The sequence below is a fragment of the Homo sapiens genome, chromosome 7 (genome assembly GCF_000001405.40).
Source record: "Homo sapiens chromosome 7, GRCh38.p14 Primary Assembly".
NCBI lineage: Eukaryota > Metazoa > Chordata > Mammalia > Primates > Hominidae > Homo > Homo sapiens.
In genome coordinates, this window is record NC_000007.14 from 137,256,468 (window position 1) to 137,279,351 (window position 22,884).

Here is a 22,884-nt window from a genome sequence, read left to right on the forward strand (position 1 = left end):
CACTCATGTCCCTGCAAAGGACATGATCTCATTCCTTGTTATGGTTGCCTAGTATTCCATTGTATATATGTACCAAATTTTCTTTATCCAGTCTATCATTGATAAGCTTTTGGGTTGGTTCAATGGCTTTGCTATGTAATAGTGCTGCAATAAACCTATGTGTGCCTGTGTCTTTATATTAAAATAATTCATATTCCTTTGGGTATATACTCAGTAATGGGATGGCTGGATCAAATGGTATTTCTGGTTCTAGATCCTCAAGGAATCACCACACCGTTTTCCACAATGGTTGAACTAATTTCCAGAATTTACAAGGAACTTAAACAAATTTATAAAAAACAAAACAAAACAAAACAAAACAAAAACCCCATCAAAAACTGGGCAAAGGATATGACAGACACTTTTCAAAAGACATTTCTGCAGCCAACAAATATGAAAAAAAGCTCAACATCACTGATCATTAGAGAAATGCAAATCAAAACCACAGTGAGATACCATCTCAAGCCAGTCAGAATGGCAATTATTAAAAAGTCAAGAAACAATAGATGCTGGCAAGACTGTGGAGAAATAAGAATGCTTTTACACTGTTGGTGGGAATGTAAATAAGTGTTGTTTTTAAAAATTGATGACTTTGGATTCCAACATATGGATGAAGCATATTTCACTTATCAATTAAAATTAATATTTTGAACCTTAATTTTTTCCCTGAATCACAAGCCTAGATTAGCTACTCACCATCTCCAGCACTTTCTACAATATAAGATAAGGTGCTTTGTTCTTCCTCCTGAGGCTAAATTCTTATTATATCAGATTGGTGCAAAAGTGATCATGGCTTTTGCCCTTAAAGTAAAAATCGCAGTTACTTTTGCACCAACCTAATACCTCATGAATGGTCACGCAGAAAAGTTTCTACTGATTCTGAGGCTTTTCCTGCGCTTTTAATTGGGTGTGAATGGTAAAAGAAGCCAGTCTAGACTCATAGGTTTGCAAGTCTTTTCAGAGTTCTTTGAGTTGGGCACTGGTACATCAGTGCTACTATATCTTTCATAATGTACTCAAATGTCATTTAAAATTATTAGGTGTAAAGTAAACCAAAGTGGAAGTCTTTGAGCTTTCCCCAGAGGCTGGCTGAAAGCCTTCTTTCTGTCACTTTGGCAGAAACTTTTCATTTCAATTGTTTAAAAGGGCAAATTATTTTTTTGATTCAGAACTTTTAAATTACAATATATTTCTTTCCAAGTTAAAATTTACCTGCATTTTCAACAGTTACTTACAAATATCAGAAGTATTTAGGTTGTTGAGAATTAGATTACTGTGAGAATTTGGAAATTCTCATGGAGAACGCAGAACTCTTGAGAGAACTTTCTGCCCAAGCCATGGGATGCTCATCCATAGTCCTATGATACCTACAGCAAGAAGAGAGGCCAGAAGCACCTCAGAGCCCACTGGAGAAATATGATAACTTGGCAGAAATAGAAAGACTCTACCTTCTGTAAATAATACAATAACACACATATACACACACATGCACACACAGAGTTATTCATGGCAAGGTGCTATCACTGGCAAGTTTTAACCTCAGCATTTCTAGTTTTATATTGTTAAACTCTTGTTTTCATCGTTATTTTCAAAAAGATTTCCTTAATCCAGTTCTATTCACTGATTTCAAGGAAAAAAACACACAGGCCATAATTTCCAAATCAAATAAAATTTTTAGTATAGAATAGTCTACTAAACAAGTCATTATAACTGAAATATGAGCTGACTGGAAAGAAGGAAAGGTAAGTACTAGATGGGAGTTGGAGAGAAAGTAGAATGGAAATACACTCTATCTGCCTCTAATGTTAATTTAGAATAATTAAGAACATTAAGAATTGAGTAAATGGTGGATTTCAGCACTTAAATCTTCTATGAAATAAATGCACACAAGTCCATGTGTACAGTGGGTCACCTGTGTACAATACGTGTTCAACAACAGCTTTGAATTGAAGAACACTGTTCTTCTCAGCCTCTTCTCCCCTTCCTTCTATTTTGTTCATCATTCTACTTAAGCCTATATTTTGAGAGCTTAGATGTTTCTGGGTAGAGAAAATGAATAAAGGTTATTTAAAAGAAGAGAGTAAAGAGTTTTAAAAATGCAATGATTAAATTTATCCAAAAATTCAAGTATGCCCAAAACAATACCCAACTAGCCTGCTGGTGCCTTGCTGTTGTAGTAAATACTTGAGTAACTAGTATACATAGGGGTAGATAACAGTTGCCCTTGCTTGTGATATTTGCATAGTTGATTGTTTATTTGTCCTTAGCACCAAGTGAGGGCAAAAGCTCTTCCTGTATGAAGTTTAACCCTACCTGTTCTCCAACAGACTGAGTGCCAAATGAGAGCAGAGGCAAAAATATGGATTCTAAGGAAGTGATCAGGATCGTGGCATATTTTTTTTAATCTGGGGAAAATAAAATAGTGCGAGAATAAAGCCTTACTAAATTGACTCCATTCTTTTGAATAATTTACTTGTTTCTCACCCCCTTTTCCTACTGCAATCATTCTTGTACTTGCCCTAATAGACTTAATTGCATATTAACAATTAAGTTGAAGACTACCATATTTGGGTGCTGGTGTCTGGAAATAATTGTTAAGTTATCTCAATGAAATCTGAAACTCAATGATTAAAAGACATTAAAGAAACCAACTTTAGGAGAATGTGTTTATCTATTAAATCTCAATCTCTTTTCTGGATAAATAGCTAATTAGGAAAAGAGAGCTCCCCTTTTCCTTAGTATTTTAAGGAGATCTAGAATTTTCAAGATGGTAATATCTAAAGTAAATACAGGGAAAGGATGCTGGAAACTGTACTTTAGCGACCTATTTGGGGGATTAATACAGGATCTGGAGGCAAAACCTTTGGCTCAAACTTCAGCTATACCACCTACTTTTTGAGTGTCCTTGAACAAATTACCAAATCACAACAGATTGAACTGTTTTGACATCTGCAAAATGGGGGTGATTGTAACAATTACTTGAGAGACTTGTCATGAAGATTACAAGATACAGATATAGAAATAACCAGAATATTAATACAGTATTAGTTGCTGAATAAAATTAGTGTACCCCTTTACTCTTATTACTTACTACAAAGAAGTGCTTTTTTTATTAAAAAAATAAGCATTATACTTTGTTTTATCTAGTATTATCCAAAAGCAAAACAAAACAAACAAAAAGGGACAGAGAGAGAGAGACATGATTTAATTGAGACCAACTAAAGTTGTGTTCAGCCTTATCAGGACACAAATTAAATCTGCCTTTACTTCTTCGAAGCTTAATAAGAACTCAAGGACCTTCATCCCCAGTATTTCTTTTGAGTTCGCTGAAGTCAAGAGGTCCAATGTTGCAATGTTGATAATTAGGAAATATGTAAATGTAATTTAACTTGTATGAAATAAGAAAAAACATCTCACTTTGCAACTACATATTATACCCTTCATGTGATAAAACTATTATGTCTCCCACTTTTTATTTAAAGTACCTAAGATTTTAAAATAGCTACTACTCATTACACTTTTTGCTAGTGGAAAACATCAGCAAAACATGGCATTAAACAGAGGAATGAATAGTCATAATAAAAGATTGTCTCTGCCCTTTGTCAATACCTGGGGATGTGTAATTTACCAAAGAAGTGCTGGAAACAATCAGTTTTGAGAGTAGCCTCATATGAGAGTAAATGATTTGTGATGCTTCTGCATTATTTGTTTCACATTGCCAGATTGTTCTAGATATTGTGTGATTCAGTTGCATAAACTCTCGTGAAATAGTAATTTTCTGACCTCTTTATTGTAAAACAAAACACAAGTTATAGAAAAACCACACAAACCCACTAAAGAGCTTAGCAAATTATTGTAAGATTTTTCCAGTCATGTGAGAAGGCTTTACATGTTTCCCATCCCAATGACAGTCTCATCCCTCCAAAAGTAACTCATATAGTAATTATTTATTTGTATTATTTGAAGGTTTTATTCAAGGGTGCTTCCCTTGACTTGTCTAATTTTAATTTATTTTATTTTATTTTTAAACTGATACATCTTTCAATTTGCTTTTACTATACAGGATTACCCTCCATCACTTTCTTTTTCTTGCTTTTTACTTTTACAAAGCCCAGGCCATTTAATCATTAGTATCCCATATTCCAGATTTTGATGATTGCAAATTCATGGTGCAATTCAATATTCTCTTCAGCTGCAAATTGGCAGTTGGATGCAGAGGCTTAATCAGACTCAGGTGCTATCCCTTTGGTAAGAATGTAAATAACATTGCATTCTTTCACCAGGAGCTACAAAATATTTGGGTTTTGCTCTTTTGTGATGTTAGCAGCCATTGGTACTTAATGAGTATGGATGGGGGTTGCAAAATGGTGATATTCTCATTCTAGTCTTTCATTTTCATACAATACTTAACATAATTCCATAAAGAAATGTTTTCCTTCATCTAATATTTTGTTCAGCTGTTTAAAGTTCATAAAGATATATAGGATAAATGCTTGATTCTTTCCTTTTATTTATCTAGTTTTCAAGATTATGAATTTGCTCTCTACTATCATTAAAATACAGCCAATCACTTTTTCTTTTTTTAATGTTATTATAAATTCATGCATTTATTCATATTTGATAGGTTTTAAGCCATCACATTCTTTTTATCTTTATTGAAGCTCTAATTGTCCCATCTTTGAAGAATCTTTGTTTGTTCGTTTTGATAATAACAAATGATATTTTAAGACCAAAATCTGGGCACTAGGGATGCTCAGCTTCAATGAGTTTGTCTTTATTTCCAGCCCATTTTCTGTGAGCAGAGTGAGGAAAGGACAAAGGAAATGATAGAACTAAATATAAAATTAATGATTTGATTATCTTACATTACATAAACATTAGTCTCATGGTAATAATATAAATATTAAACCCACCAATTATGAATTTTAAAAGCAGTTAAAATGATTTTACATAGATGATCTCCTTTTGGCTCTCATTTTTATAGTTGCTTGACATCTATGTAATCAGACATTTTAGTCATTACATACTTACAGGGGCCAAGGGAAAATTTCCCCTTTGCCCTGTGAAGGTTACCTAAAAATCGCTGAGAAAAGGTAAATAAATAGGAGAAATGGCATATAAATTTATTTGATCACATTTTTACGTGACATGGGAGCATTCAGAACGAAGACCCAAAGATTCAGGAGAAAAACTATCTATTTTTATGCCTAGGCTCAACAAAATATGGACAGCTGTGTAGAAGTATGATTAGGCAAAAGGTATAATCTAGTGCTAACAACAGGCTGAATGAGGAAACCAAGCAAGGCCGGCCTGTTTAGAGTCTTCTTGGTCTCTCTCTGTGTACCTTTGCTTTCTCTGCATGTGGGGCAGGGCCCTCTCTGGAATGGAGATCTTATGATTTATACTCAAACAAAGTACATCAGATAATTTCTTTATGGCCAGTTTTTACACAGAAAGGTGTAGGGAAGTTAGAATAATATCTTTAGGTTCTATGGCTAGTTTTGGGGAAAAAGAGTTCTGGTTTCTATGACATGCCTTGTGGAAGAGTTTCTATGACTATTCAGAATCTATTTTACTTTCCCTTATAAATATAGTATTATTTTACCTGAGATGCCCAAGGGATTTTTTTCTTTAAAGTACAACAATTTTCCTAAAAAATAACTAGGTGTTTTTCATTTTGGTTAAATATTTTCAGACAGTAATGAGATCTTTGCTTTGCTTATTTTCAATATTTGTCATTTTATCTCAAATCCTTTTTATATTTTTTATTTAAAAGCAATTGCTTTTTTATCTTCAATTTATCTTAAGGTATTACTTGTGTTTATTCAATCTTGTGTCCCTTCTAGTTTAGTCTTCATTTCTAAAATAGATTTCTTATCATTCTAATTCTTTCCCAGTTTTGTCACCTCATTGCTGAGTTTTCTAATTATAATTTGTGATGCTCTTTTACATTTTATATTGTTTTCTTAGTGTTTTCTAACTCATTTTGAAACAGTAGGTTACTGTGTAGCAGGATGAGCCACAGACAAAACCCCTCAGACACCGAGATAGTGAAGGGAGTGGCTTTAATCAGCTGGGAGCATCAGCAGCCTAGCGTCTTAAAATCCGAGCTCCTCAGGTGCTCAACTTCTGTCCCTTTTAAGGGCTAACAACCCTAAGGGGGTCCACATGAGAGGGTCGTGATTGATTGAGCAAGCCAGGGGGTATGTGACGGGGCTGTGAGCACCGATGGACAGAGTGAAACAGAATAGAACGGGAGGTTTCACAAGGTCCTTCCATACAATGTCTGGAATCTATAGATAACAACAGTTGCTAGGTCAGGGGTGGAATTTTTACTACCAGGCTTAGGTCAGGCAGGCCCAGGCCTGGTTTCAGATCTGGTTCCTTGGTTTCAGGTCTGGTTCCTAGGTGCTGGGCTACCTGCCTTTTGTTTCTCTTCTCTTTCCTTTTCTGAGTATAAAACAACATGAGAGGGTCTCTCTCGTCCCTCATTTCCCCCCTTCGAGACTCTCACTTTTTATTAGTTGGAGTTCTCACTCTTATTTTTGCTACTTACATCTTCTTGTGCAATAGATTGATAGTGATTCATATAGTACACTTGTGCTGAAGCATTTTGGTGAATCAAGGTAGTGATGAAGCTTTTTATCATTTGAAGAAGTACAGGTAGCAAACAAGGGAGCAGTAAGCAGGTTCCTATTACTATTATAACTCTTATTATAAGAGTTTTAAATTTTCTTAGTGCTGGGAACCACCTTCTAAACATGGCTTCAGGGTCGAATCCATGTTACACTTGTACAGGCACATGTGCCAGTTTTGTCATATTTTTAACTATGTCTTTAACTACTTGCCTTTGATTATCTATGTGTAGACAGTAACTAGTAAGGTTAAATTTCTTATAGACCTCTCTTTCAGCTGCTAGCAAGTAGTCGAGAGCCAATCTATTTTGATAGATAGCATTTCTTATCTGAGTTTCTTGCCGGGCCAGAATAGTCAAGGCTTGACAGGTTTTATTAGTGATGATTTCTAGAACAGCCTGCAACCATATGATTCAGTTGAGCATGTAAATGGGGGTCTGGTATCCCCATGAGCTGTCTTGTGCCTAAGTACCAGGCCTATAATATTGTATGATTTGCTTAGGGGGCTATTCATTATTTTTGAATTTTTTTATAGCTATGCTTTTCTTTTTGCAGGAAGCATAGACAGGGAAGCCCAGGAGTTTGCCTCTTTTTATGGGTAGTAGGAAGAAAGATGGTTTAATAGTGCCAATAATACAACTACCTGACCACTGGTCAGGCAGCTTAGCGTAGGTTCTATGTCCACATACCCAGTATAGCCTAGTGGGGGCCGTCCAGTCCCGGTGGGATTCTGGGTGGGCTTAAATGGTCTGCAACTTTGGAAATCTACTGAATGGATTTTTATCTGTGTGTTTTGAACTCCACCACGTAACTGTTTTTGTGGTACTATTACACAGTTTTTGTCCTAAGCAACTAAGTCATCCTACAGAATGAGTGAATTCTTTCCTTTTTCTAGCTTTGCAATATTGTCCAATATTTGAAACTTTTAGAACCTAGAAATGATCAGGGTGATTCTTTAGGGCTGGGAATTCATCAGGAACTGGGTCTGTAGGCTCTAATTCTCAGGCTTCTTATGGCCATTGATCTCCTGTTACAGTTCCTCCACAAACATAACATTTAGAGACTGCGCTACATACCTTGGATAGAATAGCATTATGCAAACAAGTTTCTTTTAGAGTCCCGGTACACTTATAATAACCATAAAGTAATAGGACTGTAGCAATCTTTTATCCTACCTCAGTGACTTGATGTATATACTGGGAACAGTCCTCAGTCTGAGGAAGGTCAGTTGAAGTCCTTACTGTGCAAGTCCAAATTTTAAGGAAAATGAGTCCCGCGATGAGTTTCCTCATGCTTCGGCCATGAGTGGACCAGTCAGCTTCCGGGTGTGACTGGAGCAGCGCTTGTCGTCTTCTTCAGAATCACTTTGCAGGGGTTGGCGAAGCTGCTCCCATCCACGTACAGCTCCCAGTCTACTGATGTTTAAGGATGGTCTTGGAGGTTGGACCCACTAGAATAAACTGAGTCCAATAACTCTACACAGTTATGTTCAACTGGGCTCTCTGATACCAGGAGTAAGGTGGCTGGGTTTAGGGTGTTGCAAACTTCGACGGTTATGCAGGGATTTTCACAGAGCAAGCTTTGGTATCTAGTCAGTCTAGCATTCATTAGCTAATGATGTCCTTTGGTATTTATTAAAGTTACCACAGCATGGGGGGACTTTAGGTTTTGCCTAAGAGTTAGCTTATCTGCTTCTTGTGCTAACAGGGTCATTGCTGCCAGGGACCTTAGACATGGGGGCCAGCCTTTGGAAACCCCTTCTAGTGTTTTGAGAGATAGGCCACTGGCCTTGGCCAGGACCTTACAGTCTGGGTTAAAACTCCAACTGCCATTTTTTTTTTTTTTTTTTTGACACATAGAGTGTAAAAAGTTTTGTCAGGTCAGGTGGCCCCAGGGCTGGGGCCGACCTGAGTTTTTCTTTTAACTCATGAAAAGCTTGCTGCTGTTGGTTGTAATAGATGTAGTTTATCTAATTTATATTTTTATTAACTGTCACCTACTAAAATATTGAATTAAATCCTGTAGCTATTTGATTTCAAGCTTTAAATTGATCTGTATTCCTCGTGGGACTCCAACTGCGTCTAAATGGACAGGAGAGTCGAAAGACCTATAAGGGGCTTCTCTCACTTTACAATGTCTTATTTTTTTTCCTTCTGGTTGATGAAATGCCAGGGTGAAAGGGATAGCCAATTGGACTAAAGTATAAGTGCCACTCCAGTTATTCGGCAGAGTGCCCAGTAAAGGTCCACCACAATACCACCACACATCTGCTTGCGGATGAACAATGGCTGACTGATTGATAAGCTCTTGAAAATTCTTAAGCTCATCGCATCCCTTCAGGTCTCCAAGGAATGCTAAGTTTCCTCCCTGTCGTGAGAGACAACGAAGTGAACTTAGTGTTGGGAGACGGAGGCTGGATGGCCCTCAGGGGCTGACCCGCAGGGTACCAGACTTTGGGATATAGCAGAGAGAGCCTGGCATGACTTATTAATCCAGGCTGTAGAATCCTGGAAAACAGCTACCATGCAGCCCACGCCTGGCCGACTGGAGGACCATCTTAGTGGAAGGGAGACAATCAGGGCCTCTGGCCTGCCATGTGCACAAGCATAACAATTGCTTTTGTTTAACGTGCAGATGGAATATTTGATCCATTCCAACCAGGCATTTGCATCTTGGTATGCTATCTTAATTGCCAAAGTTTGTTTTAAGTTTTTAACTTTTATGATCTTCTTGTAAAATGAATGTTTCCTTTAGCACCTATTTTTATTAGTTTTTAGACCAAAGAAAGCCAAATACCATTTTACATTTAACAATGCTTTTTGTATGATTTTTACACTAGATAAGCTAAATTTTACTTTTATATTAGTGTGTTATTAATGTTAAACTTAATTTTAATAAAACCTTGTAGACATATTTATCTAATTTTTAATGTTTGATCATAAGTAAGATTTTATAGACTCTTTTTAACCTTTTATAATTTTTGTTAAAGAGGAGATTGGTGCTTTAAGAAAAACCTGTTGCATTTTTACTTTAATGTCCATTTCACAGAAAAACTGGATGATACTTTTTTAAGTTTAGCTAATATGTTTACACACAGAATTTTCTTTACAATTAACGTTTTAAAACTTGCTTAAACTTTCAAAACAATGATTTTTTTTAACTTTTTAATGTAGGTAAAAATCCACATTCTTATGCCTCCTTATAGTCCTTTTACCAAAGGTATATTTAACTTTCCTTATACACCTTGCACATAAACTGTTTCTTCAATAGTACTCAGGAGGCCTTATTACTTTTAAATTATACAACATTTTTTGCATAAATTTTTTTATAACTTTTTTCTTCCACGACTTTCGCAGACAATTCTTCCACATGCTCAACTTTCTGACTTATTACAAACATTTTTTTTTAAAAAAACAACCAGTTAATTTATTTCAGGACAAGAATTTACCATATAACACTCTTTTTACATAAATTCTGCCTCCCCTTTTTTTTCCTTTTTTTTTGAAGATAACCATTCTGTTTTTTTTTTTTTAAAGCGAACTTTCTTTATGTCTGTGGACTAGATGAAGGCCACAAGATTAGAAGTTACTATAATACATGTTACACTGTTAACTTTTAGCAAATTTTACTTTTGTTGAAAACCTTGTAAGTTTGGGATTTCAATTATTCTTTGCTATTAATAAGAGCCTGTTTAGTCTAAATTAACTTAGAATTTGTATAGATGGCCTTTTTTTTTTTTTTTTTTTTTTCCTGTTAGCAAAGCAGCTGCCGCTACAGATTGAACACATCTGGGCCATCCGCAGGTTACTGGGTTAAGGGTTTCTGATAGGAAGGCCTCAGTGCTTTCCGGATACGCCCTTGTTTACACTGACAACAAAGTGGTATTACAGTGTTACAGGGTTACTGAGAATACCTTTAATTATCAATTATAGGTTTTAAATATGCCTTGGCTTTTAAAGGAATCAGGTATATTGTATTTTTCTTAACTACTTGTATATTTCTCTCTCTTGTTCTTTCTCTCTTTGACTTTCTGTCTCTCTCTCTGACTTTCCTTTTGCCTTTGTCTCTTCCTCTCTTTCTGCCTCTATCTTTCTCTGTCTCTCTCTCTTTTCTTGACTCCTTCTTTGTCTCTCTGTCTCTTCCTCTGTGTCTTTTCCTCTCTCTTTGCCTCTTTTTCTCTCTTTCCTCTCTTTCTCTCTGCTGGTCTTTCCTTGCCTCTGCCAGCCGCTTATGCTGCTGTTCTCTTAACTACTGTTGGGGGGAAGGGGGTCTAAAACCAGCTGTAACTGTCTATGTACGGAAACTGGTCTGCGTGCCTTGGCTTACAGGTTACCTTGTGCCATACCTCTGAAACAAGGGACCTGTCTAGGCTTCCTTCTGATGGCCAACCCACCTCAAATGCTGGCCAGTCTATTTCACACAAAGTTCTAAGTTTTCCTGGTATCATAGTAACACCGTAATCTCCCTTAAATTCTTTCTTGAAATTTTTCAACATAGTTCCTAGTGGGGTGGGCTTAGTTTGTACCTGACCCGTGTCTCCTCGAGACAAAACACCACGCTCACACCACACGCACACTACAAAACAAAGAACGGGTAAAAAGGGCACACACACACTTTTACAGTTTACACCAAACCAGAATCAAAACCAAAATCGGAGTATCAGGAAATCCAAGCCAGGTCAAAACCAAAACCAAAGTATCAAGCAATCTAAGTCAAGTCAAAAACAAAAAACAAAGTGCCGATACAGGCATACCATGGGTGATCAGGCCATGCTTCCACTTGAATGGAGTAGGCAAGTTCCCAAGATCAATCCTGTCAAGCAATTCAAACCAAGTCAAAACAAAAACAAAAACCAAAGAGCCCATAAAGGCACAAAGTGGGTGATCAGGCCACGCTTCCACTCAAATGAGTGGGCAAGTTCCAAAGACTAGTCTTACCGAGTTTGAGACGTCCGGACTCCAAGTGCCAAGTGCCAGTTCCTTCCCGGTGTTCAGCCACTGCGTTGATCCTCCACGGGGGCCTGCCACACACGGCTCTGGCGAGGCATCCCACCGGGGCAAATGCCTACCCGGGAGCGCTCTCAGGATCCGCGTCGCTCCGGCTGGTTGGAGTCCCCCGCAGGGATGTTCCACAGGGCAGGCTAAAGCCGCTTAAGAAGCTGCCTGGACCGTCCATTACTCACCTCGCTTGCCGGTCAGGGAACCAAGAAATGTAGCAGGACGAGCCGCGGACAGGAGACACCGAGATAGTGAAGGGAGTGGCTTTAATCAGCTGGGAGCATCAGCAGCCTAGCGTCTTAAAATCTGAGCTCCTCAGGTGCTCAACTTCTGTCCCTTTTAAGGGCTAACAACTCTAAGGGGGTCCACGTGAGAGGGTCGTGATCGACTGAGCAAGCCAGGGGGTACGTGATAGGGGCTGTGAGCACCGATGGTCAGAGTGAAACAGAACAGAACGGGAGGTTTCACAGTGTCCTTCCATACAATGTCTGGAATCTGTAGATAACAACAGTTGCCAGGTCAGGTCAGGGGTGGAATTTTTACTACCAGGCTTAGGTCAGGCAGGCCCAGGCCTGGTTTCAGATCTGGTTCCTTGGTTTCGGGTCTGGTTCCTAGGCGCTGGGTTACCTGCCTTTTGTTTGGCTTCTCTTTCCTTTTCTGAGTATGAAATAATATAAAACAATATGAGAGGGTCTCTCTTGTCCCTTATTTCCCCTTAATTCTTTCCTAGTTCTGTCACCTCATTGCTGAGTTTTCTAATTATAATTTGTGATGCTCTTTTACATTTTATATTGTTTTCTTAGTGTTTTGTAACTCGTTTTGAAACTGTAGGTTACAAAGATTTTTGTTGTTCTGTTTCTTGAGCATATTCAGAAATTCTTGAATTGGCCATATAAATAATGGTCTTCCCCTTTTTCTGTTCATTCTCTCCTTTTAAGTTACTTTGTATGAGATTTGACCTCAATACATTTCTCTTGTTCATATTTATGTTCACATAGCTTTTCTAATTTCACAAAATCTGTTCTTCTGTTCTTTCATATAATGGTGGAAACATGGTATCTAACTTTCTGAGATTTTCACGTTCTGTTCTCTTCTTACTTTTATCTAGTCTTTCTCTTTCTCTTTTGTTTCTATTGTTGCTCTCTTGATCAATTTTGATTTTGTTCACGCAGTTTATCCTTACAGTGAGTTCCTGCCCCAGAAGGGAGTCCTGGAGGGTCAGCTTTTATTCTCACATTGGCTCACCATGATCTACAGTGCACTTGTGTGGGCTGTTTTGGGTTCTCCCCCTGTCAGATCTGTCTCATGTTGCTTCTCTCTATCTTGTTTTGTTCAAATACCAATAGCATGCAAGTCTTGTGGTTACTAGTGGTTTGCTCCCGTTCACTTTTGCTTTCAGGTTTGTGAGAGAAAAATTTATCCTGATTTTTGCTTTAAATCTTGACCATGGGTTTTGGTCTTGCTATCTGTCAAGCTGCTTCATCTATTTTTTTTTTTTTTTTTTTTTTTTTTTGAGACGGAATCTTGCTCTGTCACCAGGCTGGAGTCCAGTGGCATGACCTCTGCTCACTGCAACCTCCACCTCCTGGGTTCAAGCGATTCTCCTGTCTTGGCCTCCCAAGTAGTTGGGATTACAAATGTGCGCTACCCTGCCCGGCTAATTTTTGTACTCTTAGTAGAGATGGGATTTCACCATGTTGGCCAGGGTGGTCTCAATCTCCTGACCTCGTGAGCCTCCCACCTCTCCCTCCCAAAGTGCTGGGATTACAGGCGTGAGCCACCGCGCCCAGCCTGCTCCATCTATTTTTATGTGAAGATTCAGGAAGTTTCCAAAACTATCTTGACACCTCTTTCCACCCCAAATTAACACATTATTTCATTAAATGTTTTGGAGTCACCTACCCTATGCCAGCCACTGGGTGGTATTCTCAAGACACGACAGTGACAAGTGATAAGACAGATGTTTTGGCTTGTTCTCATGAAGCTTGCACTCCGATAAAGCATCAGTGACAGATAAATAGCCAATTATAATTCACTGTCCTCTCATAGGAAGTACAGAATGTCATGAAGTACAAGGGAAGGGCAATTATTTTGCATTTCCCTTTTTCGATTGTCAATTAATTTTAAGACAGGGATTCAGTTAAGGCCAAAGATTTAACTTCCCTGAAGTTCCCTATAAAGTGAACAAAACCACTTATAGCTAGAAGTTCTTTTATAAGGTATTAGCTATTAATAAATGTCCTGATTATTTTTGTCATACAGTCAAATGCTTGTCTTTTCTTATTCACCAGAAATAATTTTATTTTAGTTTAAGAAAGTACAGTATTCATTTAGTTAACAAATTTATTTATAGTACTGACCATATTCAATGATCTGTTTTAAGCACTTTACAAATATTGACTCATGGTAATATTAAATGATATTTGGTTCATTACAAATAGTGTATCCATTTACTAAATTATTCAAAAACTTTGTAAGAGTTGCAGCCTTTGTGGCATACATTATTCTAGGCAATAAAAATAAGGAGTTGAACAACACAGACAAGATTCCTGACCACACAATGCTTATATTTAGTGGGCAAGCTGGAAAATAACATGGAAAAAAATAGACGACTAAAGAGATTCATACACAAGGTAATTTCTGATTGTGGAAAATTTGTGACAAGAAAATTAAAAATGATATCATAAAGAGTGACCCAAGGAGGACTATTTAGGTAGGGGGTTATGGGTGGCTTCATCCTATGGCTAAGAAAGAGCAAGTGAGGTATGGTATCTCTACTGAAAATAGTTTGCATCATGGACTCCAAATTCTCACTTTTCCTTCCTCGTTATTCTCTTCTAAGACAAGAAGGCCTCCAAGCTTTTAACATTCTTCTGGAATTCAGTAGTTAGCCATCCATTTCTCCTGATTGATATTGTTCTCCCCATTCTACTGCAGGCTCTGCATCCACATAATCTTCCTAGCTTTGACCAACATCAAACAATTTCTCACTCTTATTGGCTCACTAGCAGGCAATCTGATCAAACCTGAAATCGTACCAATTCATAATCTGTATTAATATCCAATGTCATATAATTTCAGAATTAAAAACAAACAAATCAAGAAATGTTTACATTTCCCAAGAAAAATAATGTCCCTTTTTAAATTTAAACATGATATCACAAAGTGTTCTTTTCCCATGTGTTCTGACTTGGTAATATAGTAGAAAATCCGTTGTGACTAAAAGCATGGAGTCTTATCACCTCTGTTCCCTATTAATCTTTACAAGGATGAGTAGGTTTCATGAAAACTGTCTTCTACTTCAAATTCATCTCTAATTACACAGAAGCACACAGGCGTAAGAAAGAAACAAATAAATCAACCAAAACAAGTATTCGAAGGAAATACACTGGGTTTTCTCTTTATAATATAACTGTGATAGTAAAGGTATGTTTGTTCAATTATTCTGGGGAGCCAAATGAGTTCAAAGAAGACTCGGCTGTTTGTATTATTCCTTTATCGCTTTAATTTATTATAATTGAAAAGAGCTGGAGACTGACTTTGAGAATCACAGAATTGTTTAGTTTCCTCCTAATCCTTTTCAAGTCTATCTGCTGCAACGTGGTATAGGGGAGCAAATAAGAGTTTTAGACCAAGTCAGAGCTGAGTGAGAATCACAACTCTGGCTAGGGAATGTGAAGCAATACATTTACTTTCTCTGAAACTTATTTTTCTTAGCAATCGACGTGGGTATAATATCTTCCCCACAAAGTTTTGGGATTAGAGATTACGTATGAAAATTAAGCAACACAGTTCCTGGCACACAGCAGACCCATAATATCTTTTCTCAATAAGCTTTTCTAACTTCAATTGCAGCCCTCTTGCCCCTTCATCTTTAATTATACAAAGTCAATAAATGGACACAGTGGATATAATTTCCCTATACCAGCATGCCAAACACTGACTGTTCCTTGGGTAAAAATAGCAATCCAATTCTTCTTTTTACCAGATTATTGTACTATCTTCCTAATTCATCTTCCTGTTGTCTTTCTTATTTCCTTCTAAACCACAATCTGCTGAGACCAAGATGTCTAGACTGTCTAAAAGCTTTCCTTCTTGGAGGCACCTTTCAGTCTGTCTTTTCCACTCCTGCACCCGATCTATCTATCTTTAGCCAGAAAGAAGTACTTATAATTATTTAAACCCAGAAACATTTTAATCAACTGATCTTTTGCTCATGCTATCCTGTGTGATTAGAAATTCTTTCCCAATCCCCTTTCCTGGCAAATCCTTATCACTGTCCAAGGTTTAGCTCAAGGCTTTCGCCCTCAACAAAGCCTTTGCCAAGATGACAGTATCGCTATCTCTGGAGCACATTGTGCCACATCCATTCCACGGACCCTCCTCATTCACAACCCTGAATGTGCACGTGGCATATTATTGATTCCATAAAATGTGGCATATAAAACTGAAAAGGAAATGACATGAGCCATCTAGACCATTATATTTAGTAACTATCATGTCTTTAAATCTCTTCAATTTCTCTTCTTTGATTACCAATGCTAGCAATTGACTTTCTTTTAAGGAGCTATTTCTCTCTAAAAAAACGAAACTAGAAATAAAATAATGTCCCACATTATAATTGTAATACATAAAGGAAGTAGAGAATAACAAAGCTGTCCTGAAAGGTAGATACTGAAAGTCCACTATAGTTCCTTACTAGCTGTTTGATTGATTCACATACACTAGCCAATAAGTAAATTCTCATCTGAGAAAAACTACCAGTAACTCAAGTCATGGACGCTTGAGGTCCTATTAGAATAACTGACATTTAGAATACTGTCTACTGATGAAGTTCTATCGAAAGCCTTTGGATAATAATGTAATTTTCTGTGCATGCATGTGTGATTGTGATTGTGTTTGTGTATATATAATACTGTGTGTGTGTAGACACAAACACTTGTATTCATCTTCCTTCAGTAATCAATACATCCTTTAAGGGAGAGAACATTATCTCTCTGTTATTCATTTGTAAGGTTTAGAACAGTGTTGACCCACAGATTTCATTTATATGTTTGTTAAATAAATGAATAAAATAAAGAATAAAAATGGCCTTGGTAGCCAATATAGTAACTGACTGACTATGGTATCTAAAATAACACCCACTTACACATCTCTGTTCCCTTACTGGGCTTTACTTTTTCCTTAGCATGAATTCATGTTGGATGTTGTATTAGCATGTTTTCACACTGCTATAAAGACCTGCCTGAGACTGGGTAATTTATAAAGGAAAAAGGTTTAACTCACTCACAGTTCAGCATGGCTGGGGAAGCTGCAGGAAATTTACCAACATGGCTGAAGTCGAAGGGACAAGGCAGCAGGAAGGAGAATGAACACAGGAGGAACTACCAAATACTTATGAAACCACTGGATACTTATGAAAACTCAAGTAGAAGGACCATGTAAGCAAATGAATGGAGGTGGCATTTATAAAATATTCAGTGACAAATGTGTAGAGTCTAGAGCACACAGTAACAAGAAACAGTGGATGGACCTCAAAAGAAGACAGTGGAAATGAGTTAATCCTGGGAGCTGTGAGGGGGAAAGGAATAGAGACAGAGTCATTAAGTAGTCTGGAGAAGAGACAAGGAAAGACCACGGAGAGGGGAAAAGGCTGTGAGTTGCATGAACATGACTAAAACCCTAAGTTACCACCAAGGGGTCAGCTGCCATATTCAAGAGTTCATCAAGATATCCTTTGCATAGTTCTGTGGTTATTGTCCTGGTTTGTCTTTATTTTTATCAGTTTTGTGGGTGTTTTAGGTACTTCAGCTCACTTTTGCTTATTTGTTTATTACAAAAGTACTATAATTAGGAGTCCAGAATAAGCACTAACACCTCAAAATTTCAGAAGCGCACACACACACACACACACACAAATAGCCTCTTATTTTCTTATTTTCATTTTATTATTTTTATCAACAGAGCACTGGTGTTTCCACAAGGAAGCACCAAGGGTTGCAGCAAGGCATTAAGAGAGGCCTGAGAAGGTGCCCTGACCTCCCTGCCACACCCAATAGTGCCCCCTCCTTACCCCAGCTGTGCCTAGAGCAGCTCCTCCTTCACTACTCACTGACTTCCTTGTAAAAGTCCATTTGTCAAAAAAAGAAAATACATTTAAAGGCCACTGGTCTACCCAATACCAAGGTCTATCTAGTTAGGAGATACAATAGTGACACAGAACAGTATTTTTTTTTATATATACTTTAAGTTCTGGGGTACATGTGCAGAACATGCGGTTTTGTTACATAGGTACACATGTGCCATGCTGCTTTGCTGCACCCATCAACCCGTCACCTACATTAGGTATTTCTCCTAATGTTGTCCCTCCCCTAGGCCCCCACCCCCCGACAGGCCCTGGTGTGTGATGTTCCCCTCCCTGTGTCCATGTGTTCTCATCAGAACAGTATTTTTTTAAAAGATAGAATAGGAAAAATGCCTCACAGATGGTGATGTAAATATGAAATCTATTATTAGTATGAAAGATGCCTTGCTCACATTAGGTACTCAAAAAATATTTGTGAAATTATATTTAAAAATAGAAATTTTATAGTTAACTATTCTGTACTTTATAAAGTCTGAAATGATTTCATCTTGTCATCAAAGATCAAACACATAGCCTAACAAGTATGATTATAATCATGAAGAATTTATGACAGAAAATCGTAAGGCATAAGAGGCCTATTTTAATATGGTGGAAAGAGAAAAGGTTTTGAAGTCAGATTTTTTCACACTGGCTTCATCACTTCTTATATGTAGGCAAAGTAGTCGATTTCTTTTACTGTCAGTATCCTCATCAATGGAAACACAGAGTTTTCATATGCACACTTATAATTTGTTTGAAGAGTACAGTGAGATAACATATAAAATGCCTGGCATCCTGTGAGACATGTATTCAGTTCTCCATCAATGGTAGCCCTTGTGGTTCTTTGAGGAAGAGAGGGGAGGTGAAGAAGTGTATATCTCCCCCAAAAAACATCAGAGGCAGCTTTGCACAGAGGGTGATAATGCAGCCTTTTAAGACGGTTTAGACTTTGATAAGTAAACCTAGAATGGAAAGCATTTCCAATGGAAGAAATAGAATAATCTAAAGTTTCAGGTGAGAAATCAAGAGACCAGTGTGAAGTATATAGGTCAGTTTAGTAATAAAAGAAGAAAGTATGGTATAGATGAGCTGAAGCCCCAGAATTATCATTAGTATCAGCAACTATTTCGTAGACCACCTACTATATGAAAGATAATATCCCAAGTTATGAGGGAGATACAGATGGGAATTACATGTGATATTAGAAACCCTACAAGATTACAGGCTCATTAAGAGGATTCAGCCAATAAGATTATATACCACATCTTTGTGCGAGACATAAAAATGCTGTAACTAAAAGCAAAGTGTTTATGATAATATTCTTGCCAAAATCTCTTGTGGGAAATTAAAAGGACACTTCTCAACTTTTGGCAGTAAATCTTTTTTTAAAAAAAAAAATTGTATTGGCAAACTGAATTAGGTTCTGAAGGCAAGACTCTCTAGTATTGGCAAGTTGCAAATAAATGCCCCATGTTGACTAAAAACACAAATCCATAATCATTCAACCTAACTCAGTAAGAAACCACATTTAAAAATGTATAGATCTCAGCTTCAAATGAAAAGGTATTTCTGTCATGATTCTACCACATTTTGATACACTTCTGAAACAACTCAGTATAGCTTTATTAGCTACTGACTTCAGATGGCATTTCTAATAACTGGTGGCTTTATTTGTTCAGATGAAGTGACTCAATTAAAAACATAATTAACAAAACAGCATGCAGGTTTTCAAATTCACTGCCATACAACTAAGCAAATGGCATCCCACATTATTATGTATTTGGGAGGAAGTAACAAATAACTATTGTTTGGCTGATCTTGGTTATGTTTGTGAGGCAGAAATGTCGCAGGTCAGCATCAAGCCCCAACTCAAAGAAAAACCTGTCATACAAAGGTCAAACACCTAATGAAAGTCCATCTGGGAAGTGAGAATTTTGAAGACGGATCTAAATTTGTTAATTGATCTGTTACAGACTATTAAATTTGTGCCAGAAAAGGAATTGATTATTGCAAGGCAAGTCCCTGAATGACCCTAGAGACCCAGCTCTTCCTCCTTTCTCTAATGTAGTTCAAGGGCAACTGCAGAACGTGCTGGGAATGCAGCATCCTGAGATAAAGAGAAACTATTAGAACAGTCCAGGCTCTGTTCTCATCCCTCTTAGAAGAGGACGTCCTGCAATGCTTTAGCTTGGAAATTCCGGTTACCCCTGGATATAAAACCAGGGTGAAATGGGTTTTGAGGGCCCCTCAGCTGCAGTGTGATATGGGGCACATGTACGCAAGACTTCACCTGCCTTGGGCAGTTTTCATGAAGTTGGGGACCTGGCTTGCCATTGATTCCAGGCTTCTATTGTCCCTTGCTGCCTGTCTGTGAGTAATATAGTTGCTTTGCTTCACTTGTGTGAGTGTTTTGTTTCACCAGACTCATGCAAGTTAACTAATACTGGTGCATGGTATTGGTGAAGTCTTTAGAGTCCTCTCCTAGGATGTATACCAGTGCACAGAGAACTTGCTTCACAATTATTGCTTTTAACAGAAAAAAAAAAATCACAAAAAATATTTACTCAGTAAAGTTTGATTGTGTCTGAAAAGCTGTAGCAGTTTTCTCAGTTTGATACTTAGAAATATCAGAGCCTTAATGAAATAGTATTCTATTTACAATCCAATGGAATCACTCAAAAAAACTACCAGAATTGATAAGTGAGTTTAGTAATGGGTTACAGGATTCAAGGTGAGTACACATATATAAATTATACAACTATATGTTTACAAAATATGTATCTGTCAAATGAATTTTATCTACAACACATAAAGAATATTTACAAGTCAATGGTAATAAGAACACTTAATAAAAATCATGGGCAAAAAAACTGGACACTTTATCAAAGAAGACACACAGATGGCAAATGAGCATGTGAAAAGACGCCCAGTGCTATTAGGAAAACTCTTCAATATGATATCACTATGTAGCCCACTCAACTAACCAAAATTCACAGACTGACCAAACCAAGTGTTGGCAAAAATGTGGAACTTTAACTCTCACACTTTACTGGTAGGACTATAAAATCATTGCAACCACTATTGAACACATTTTAGACTTTCCTTAAGAATATTAAAATACACTTATCATACAACCCAGCCACTTTTCCCAAGAAAAATGAAAACTTAGGTCTGCACTAAGGCATACACAAATGTTTATAGCAGCTTGCTTTATTTGTAATAGCCAAAAATGGTAATAACCAAAATGTCTATCAACAGGTACATTGATGAATAAATTGTAGTATAGTCAAACAATGTTATCCCAAGCAAGAAAAAAAAATTTTTTGAGACAAGGTCTCACTCTGCCACCCAGGATGGAGTGCAGTGGCGTGATCATGGCTCACTGCAGCCTTAACCTCCCATGTTCAAACAATCCTCCTACCTCAGCCTCTCAAGTAGCTGGGACTACAGGCACATGTCACCACACTTGGCTAATTTTTCTATTTTTCATATAGATAAGGTACCACTATGCTGCTGAAGCTGGTCTCAAACTCCTGGGTTCAAGTGATCCTTCTGGCTAAGCCTCCCAAAGTGCTTGGATTATAAGCATGAGCCACCATGCCCAGCCAAAAAATATATATGTAGATAGATAGATAGATGAGATGATAGATAGATAGATAGATAGATAGATAGATAGATAGATAGATAGATAGATGCAACAGCATGTTGCATGATCTAAACTAAAATGTTAAGCATAAATTCATTTTTTAAAAAATGACTACTGGGCCGGGCGCGGTGGCTCACGCCTGTAATCCCAGCACTTTGGGAGGCCGAGGCGGGTGGATCACGAGGTCAGGAGATCGAGACCATCCTGGCTAACACGGTGAAACCCCGTCTCTACTAAAAATACAAAAAATTAGCCGGGCGTGGTAGCGGGCGCCTGTAGTCCCAGCTACTCGGGAGGCTGAGGCAGGAGAATGGCGTGAACCCGGGAGGCGGAGCTTGCAGTGAGCCGAGATCGCGCCACTGCACTCCAGCCTGGGCGACAGAGCGAGACTCCGTCTCAAAAAAAAAAAAAAAAAAAAAAAAAAAAAAAATGACTACTAATCAAAAAGCCAGATTGTCAAATTAGATAAACAAGCAAGACCCAATTGTATGCTATCTAGAAGAGATCTATTTTAAATATATATATTTTCTAAAAGGTTGAAACTGAAAGGATGGGAGAAGTTATTTCACAGAAATAGTCATGAGAAAGATCGTGTGGCTCTAACAGTATTAGTCAATTTAGACTTCAAAATAGAATTTACAAAATAAAGAGGGTTATTTTATAATTAGAGAGGCTTATATTGATCTGAAAAACATAACAATACCAAATGGATTTGCAAACAACAAACTTTCAAAATACAAGGATTAACTTGGCCGGGCAGGGTGGCTCACACCTGTAATCCCAGCACTTTGGGAGGCCAAAGCAGGTGGATCACTTGAGGTCGGAGCTTGAAACCAACCTAGCCAACATGGTGACACCCCATCTCTACTAAAATTACAAAAACTTAGCCGGGCATGGTGGCGCACACCTGTAATCCCAGCTACTCAGGAGGCAGAAGCAGGAGAATTGCGTGAACCCGGGAGGCAGAGGTTGCAGTGAGCCAAGATCACACCATTGCACTCCAGCCTGGGTGACAAAGTGAGACTCCATCTCAGAACAATAATAATAATAATAATAATAATAATAATAATAATAAAATAAAGAAACGGACCAATCCAGAATCATAATCTGAAATTTAAAAACAAACTGAGAAATTCACATGAGTAGAAAAAAGTCAGTATGAATGAACCTGACCTGATACCAAAACCTGAAAACATATTACAAGAAATTATATACCAATATCCTAATAAACAAAAACATTAAAATCTTTTTAAAATATTATTAAACCAAGTCCAACAAATAGAAAACTAAAGCTAATAAATCATAGCTAGTGATGTTTACTCTAGGATGCAAGGTTGATTTAACAATTGAATGTCCATGTATTTTGCCACTTTAATACAATACTGAAATAAAGGAGAAAAATCGCATGGTCATCTAATCAGTTAGAGGAAAATATTTGATCAC

General features: G+C 37.5%; 1 protein-coding gene across 3 annotated transcripts in view, besides 6 other annotated features; it reads right to left on the reverse strand.

Annotated features, from left to right (window-relative positions):
* The window catches only part of PTN (pleiotrophin), a 116,393-nt gene that overhangs the window by 29,127 nt on the left and 64,382 nt on the right, over nt 1-22,884 (reverse strand). Inside the window, exon 1 of one of the 3 annotated variants that reach the window (NM_001321386.2) lies at nt 11,857-12,388. The exons of the other annotated variants lie outside the window; for them this stretch is intronic. The gene's annotated coding sequence lies outside the window, so the exon portion shown is untranslated. Of the gene's footprint in view, nt 1-11,856; nt 12,389-22,884 lie in introns of those variants that run through there. 3 annotated transcript variants of the gene reach the window in all.
* Nucleotides 11,758-11,884: a mobile genetic element.
* Nucleotides 11,758-13,658: a promoter, noted in NCBI's record as "1.9 kb HindIII/BamHI fragment". NCBI's record gives the evidence for it as "EXISTENCE:reporter gene assay evidence [ECO:0000049][PMID:8962128]".
* Nucleotides 11,885-12,379: a mobile genetic element.
* Nucleotides 11,903-11,946: a promoter, noted in NCBI's record as "+443/+486". NCBI's record gives its function as "bi-directional promoter" and the evidence as "EXISTENCE:reporter gene assay evidence [ECO:0000049][PMID:10962555]".
* Nucleotides 11,924-11,946: a protein binding site, noted in NCBI's record as "Sp1 site; +443/+465". NCBI's record gives its function as "positive regulation of promoter activity" and the evidence as "EXISTENCE:protein binding evidence [ECO:0000024][PMID:10962555]".
* Nucleotides 13,184-13,463: a mobile genetic element.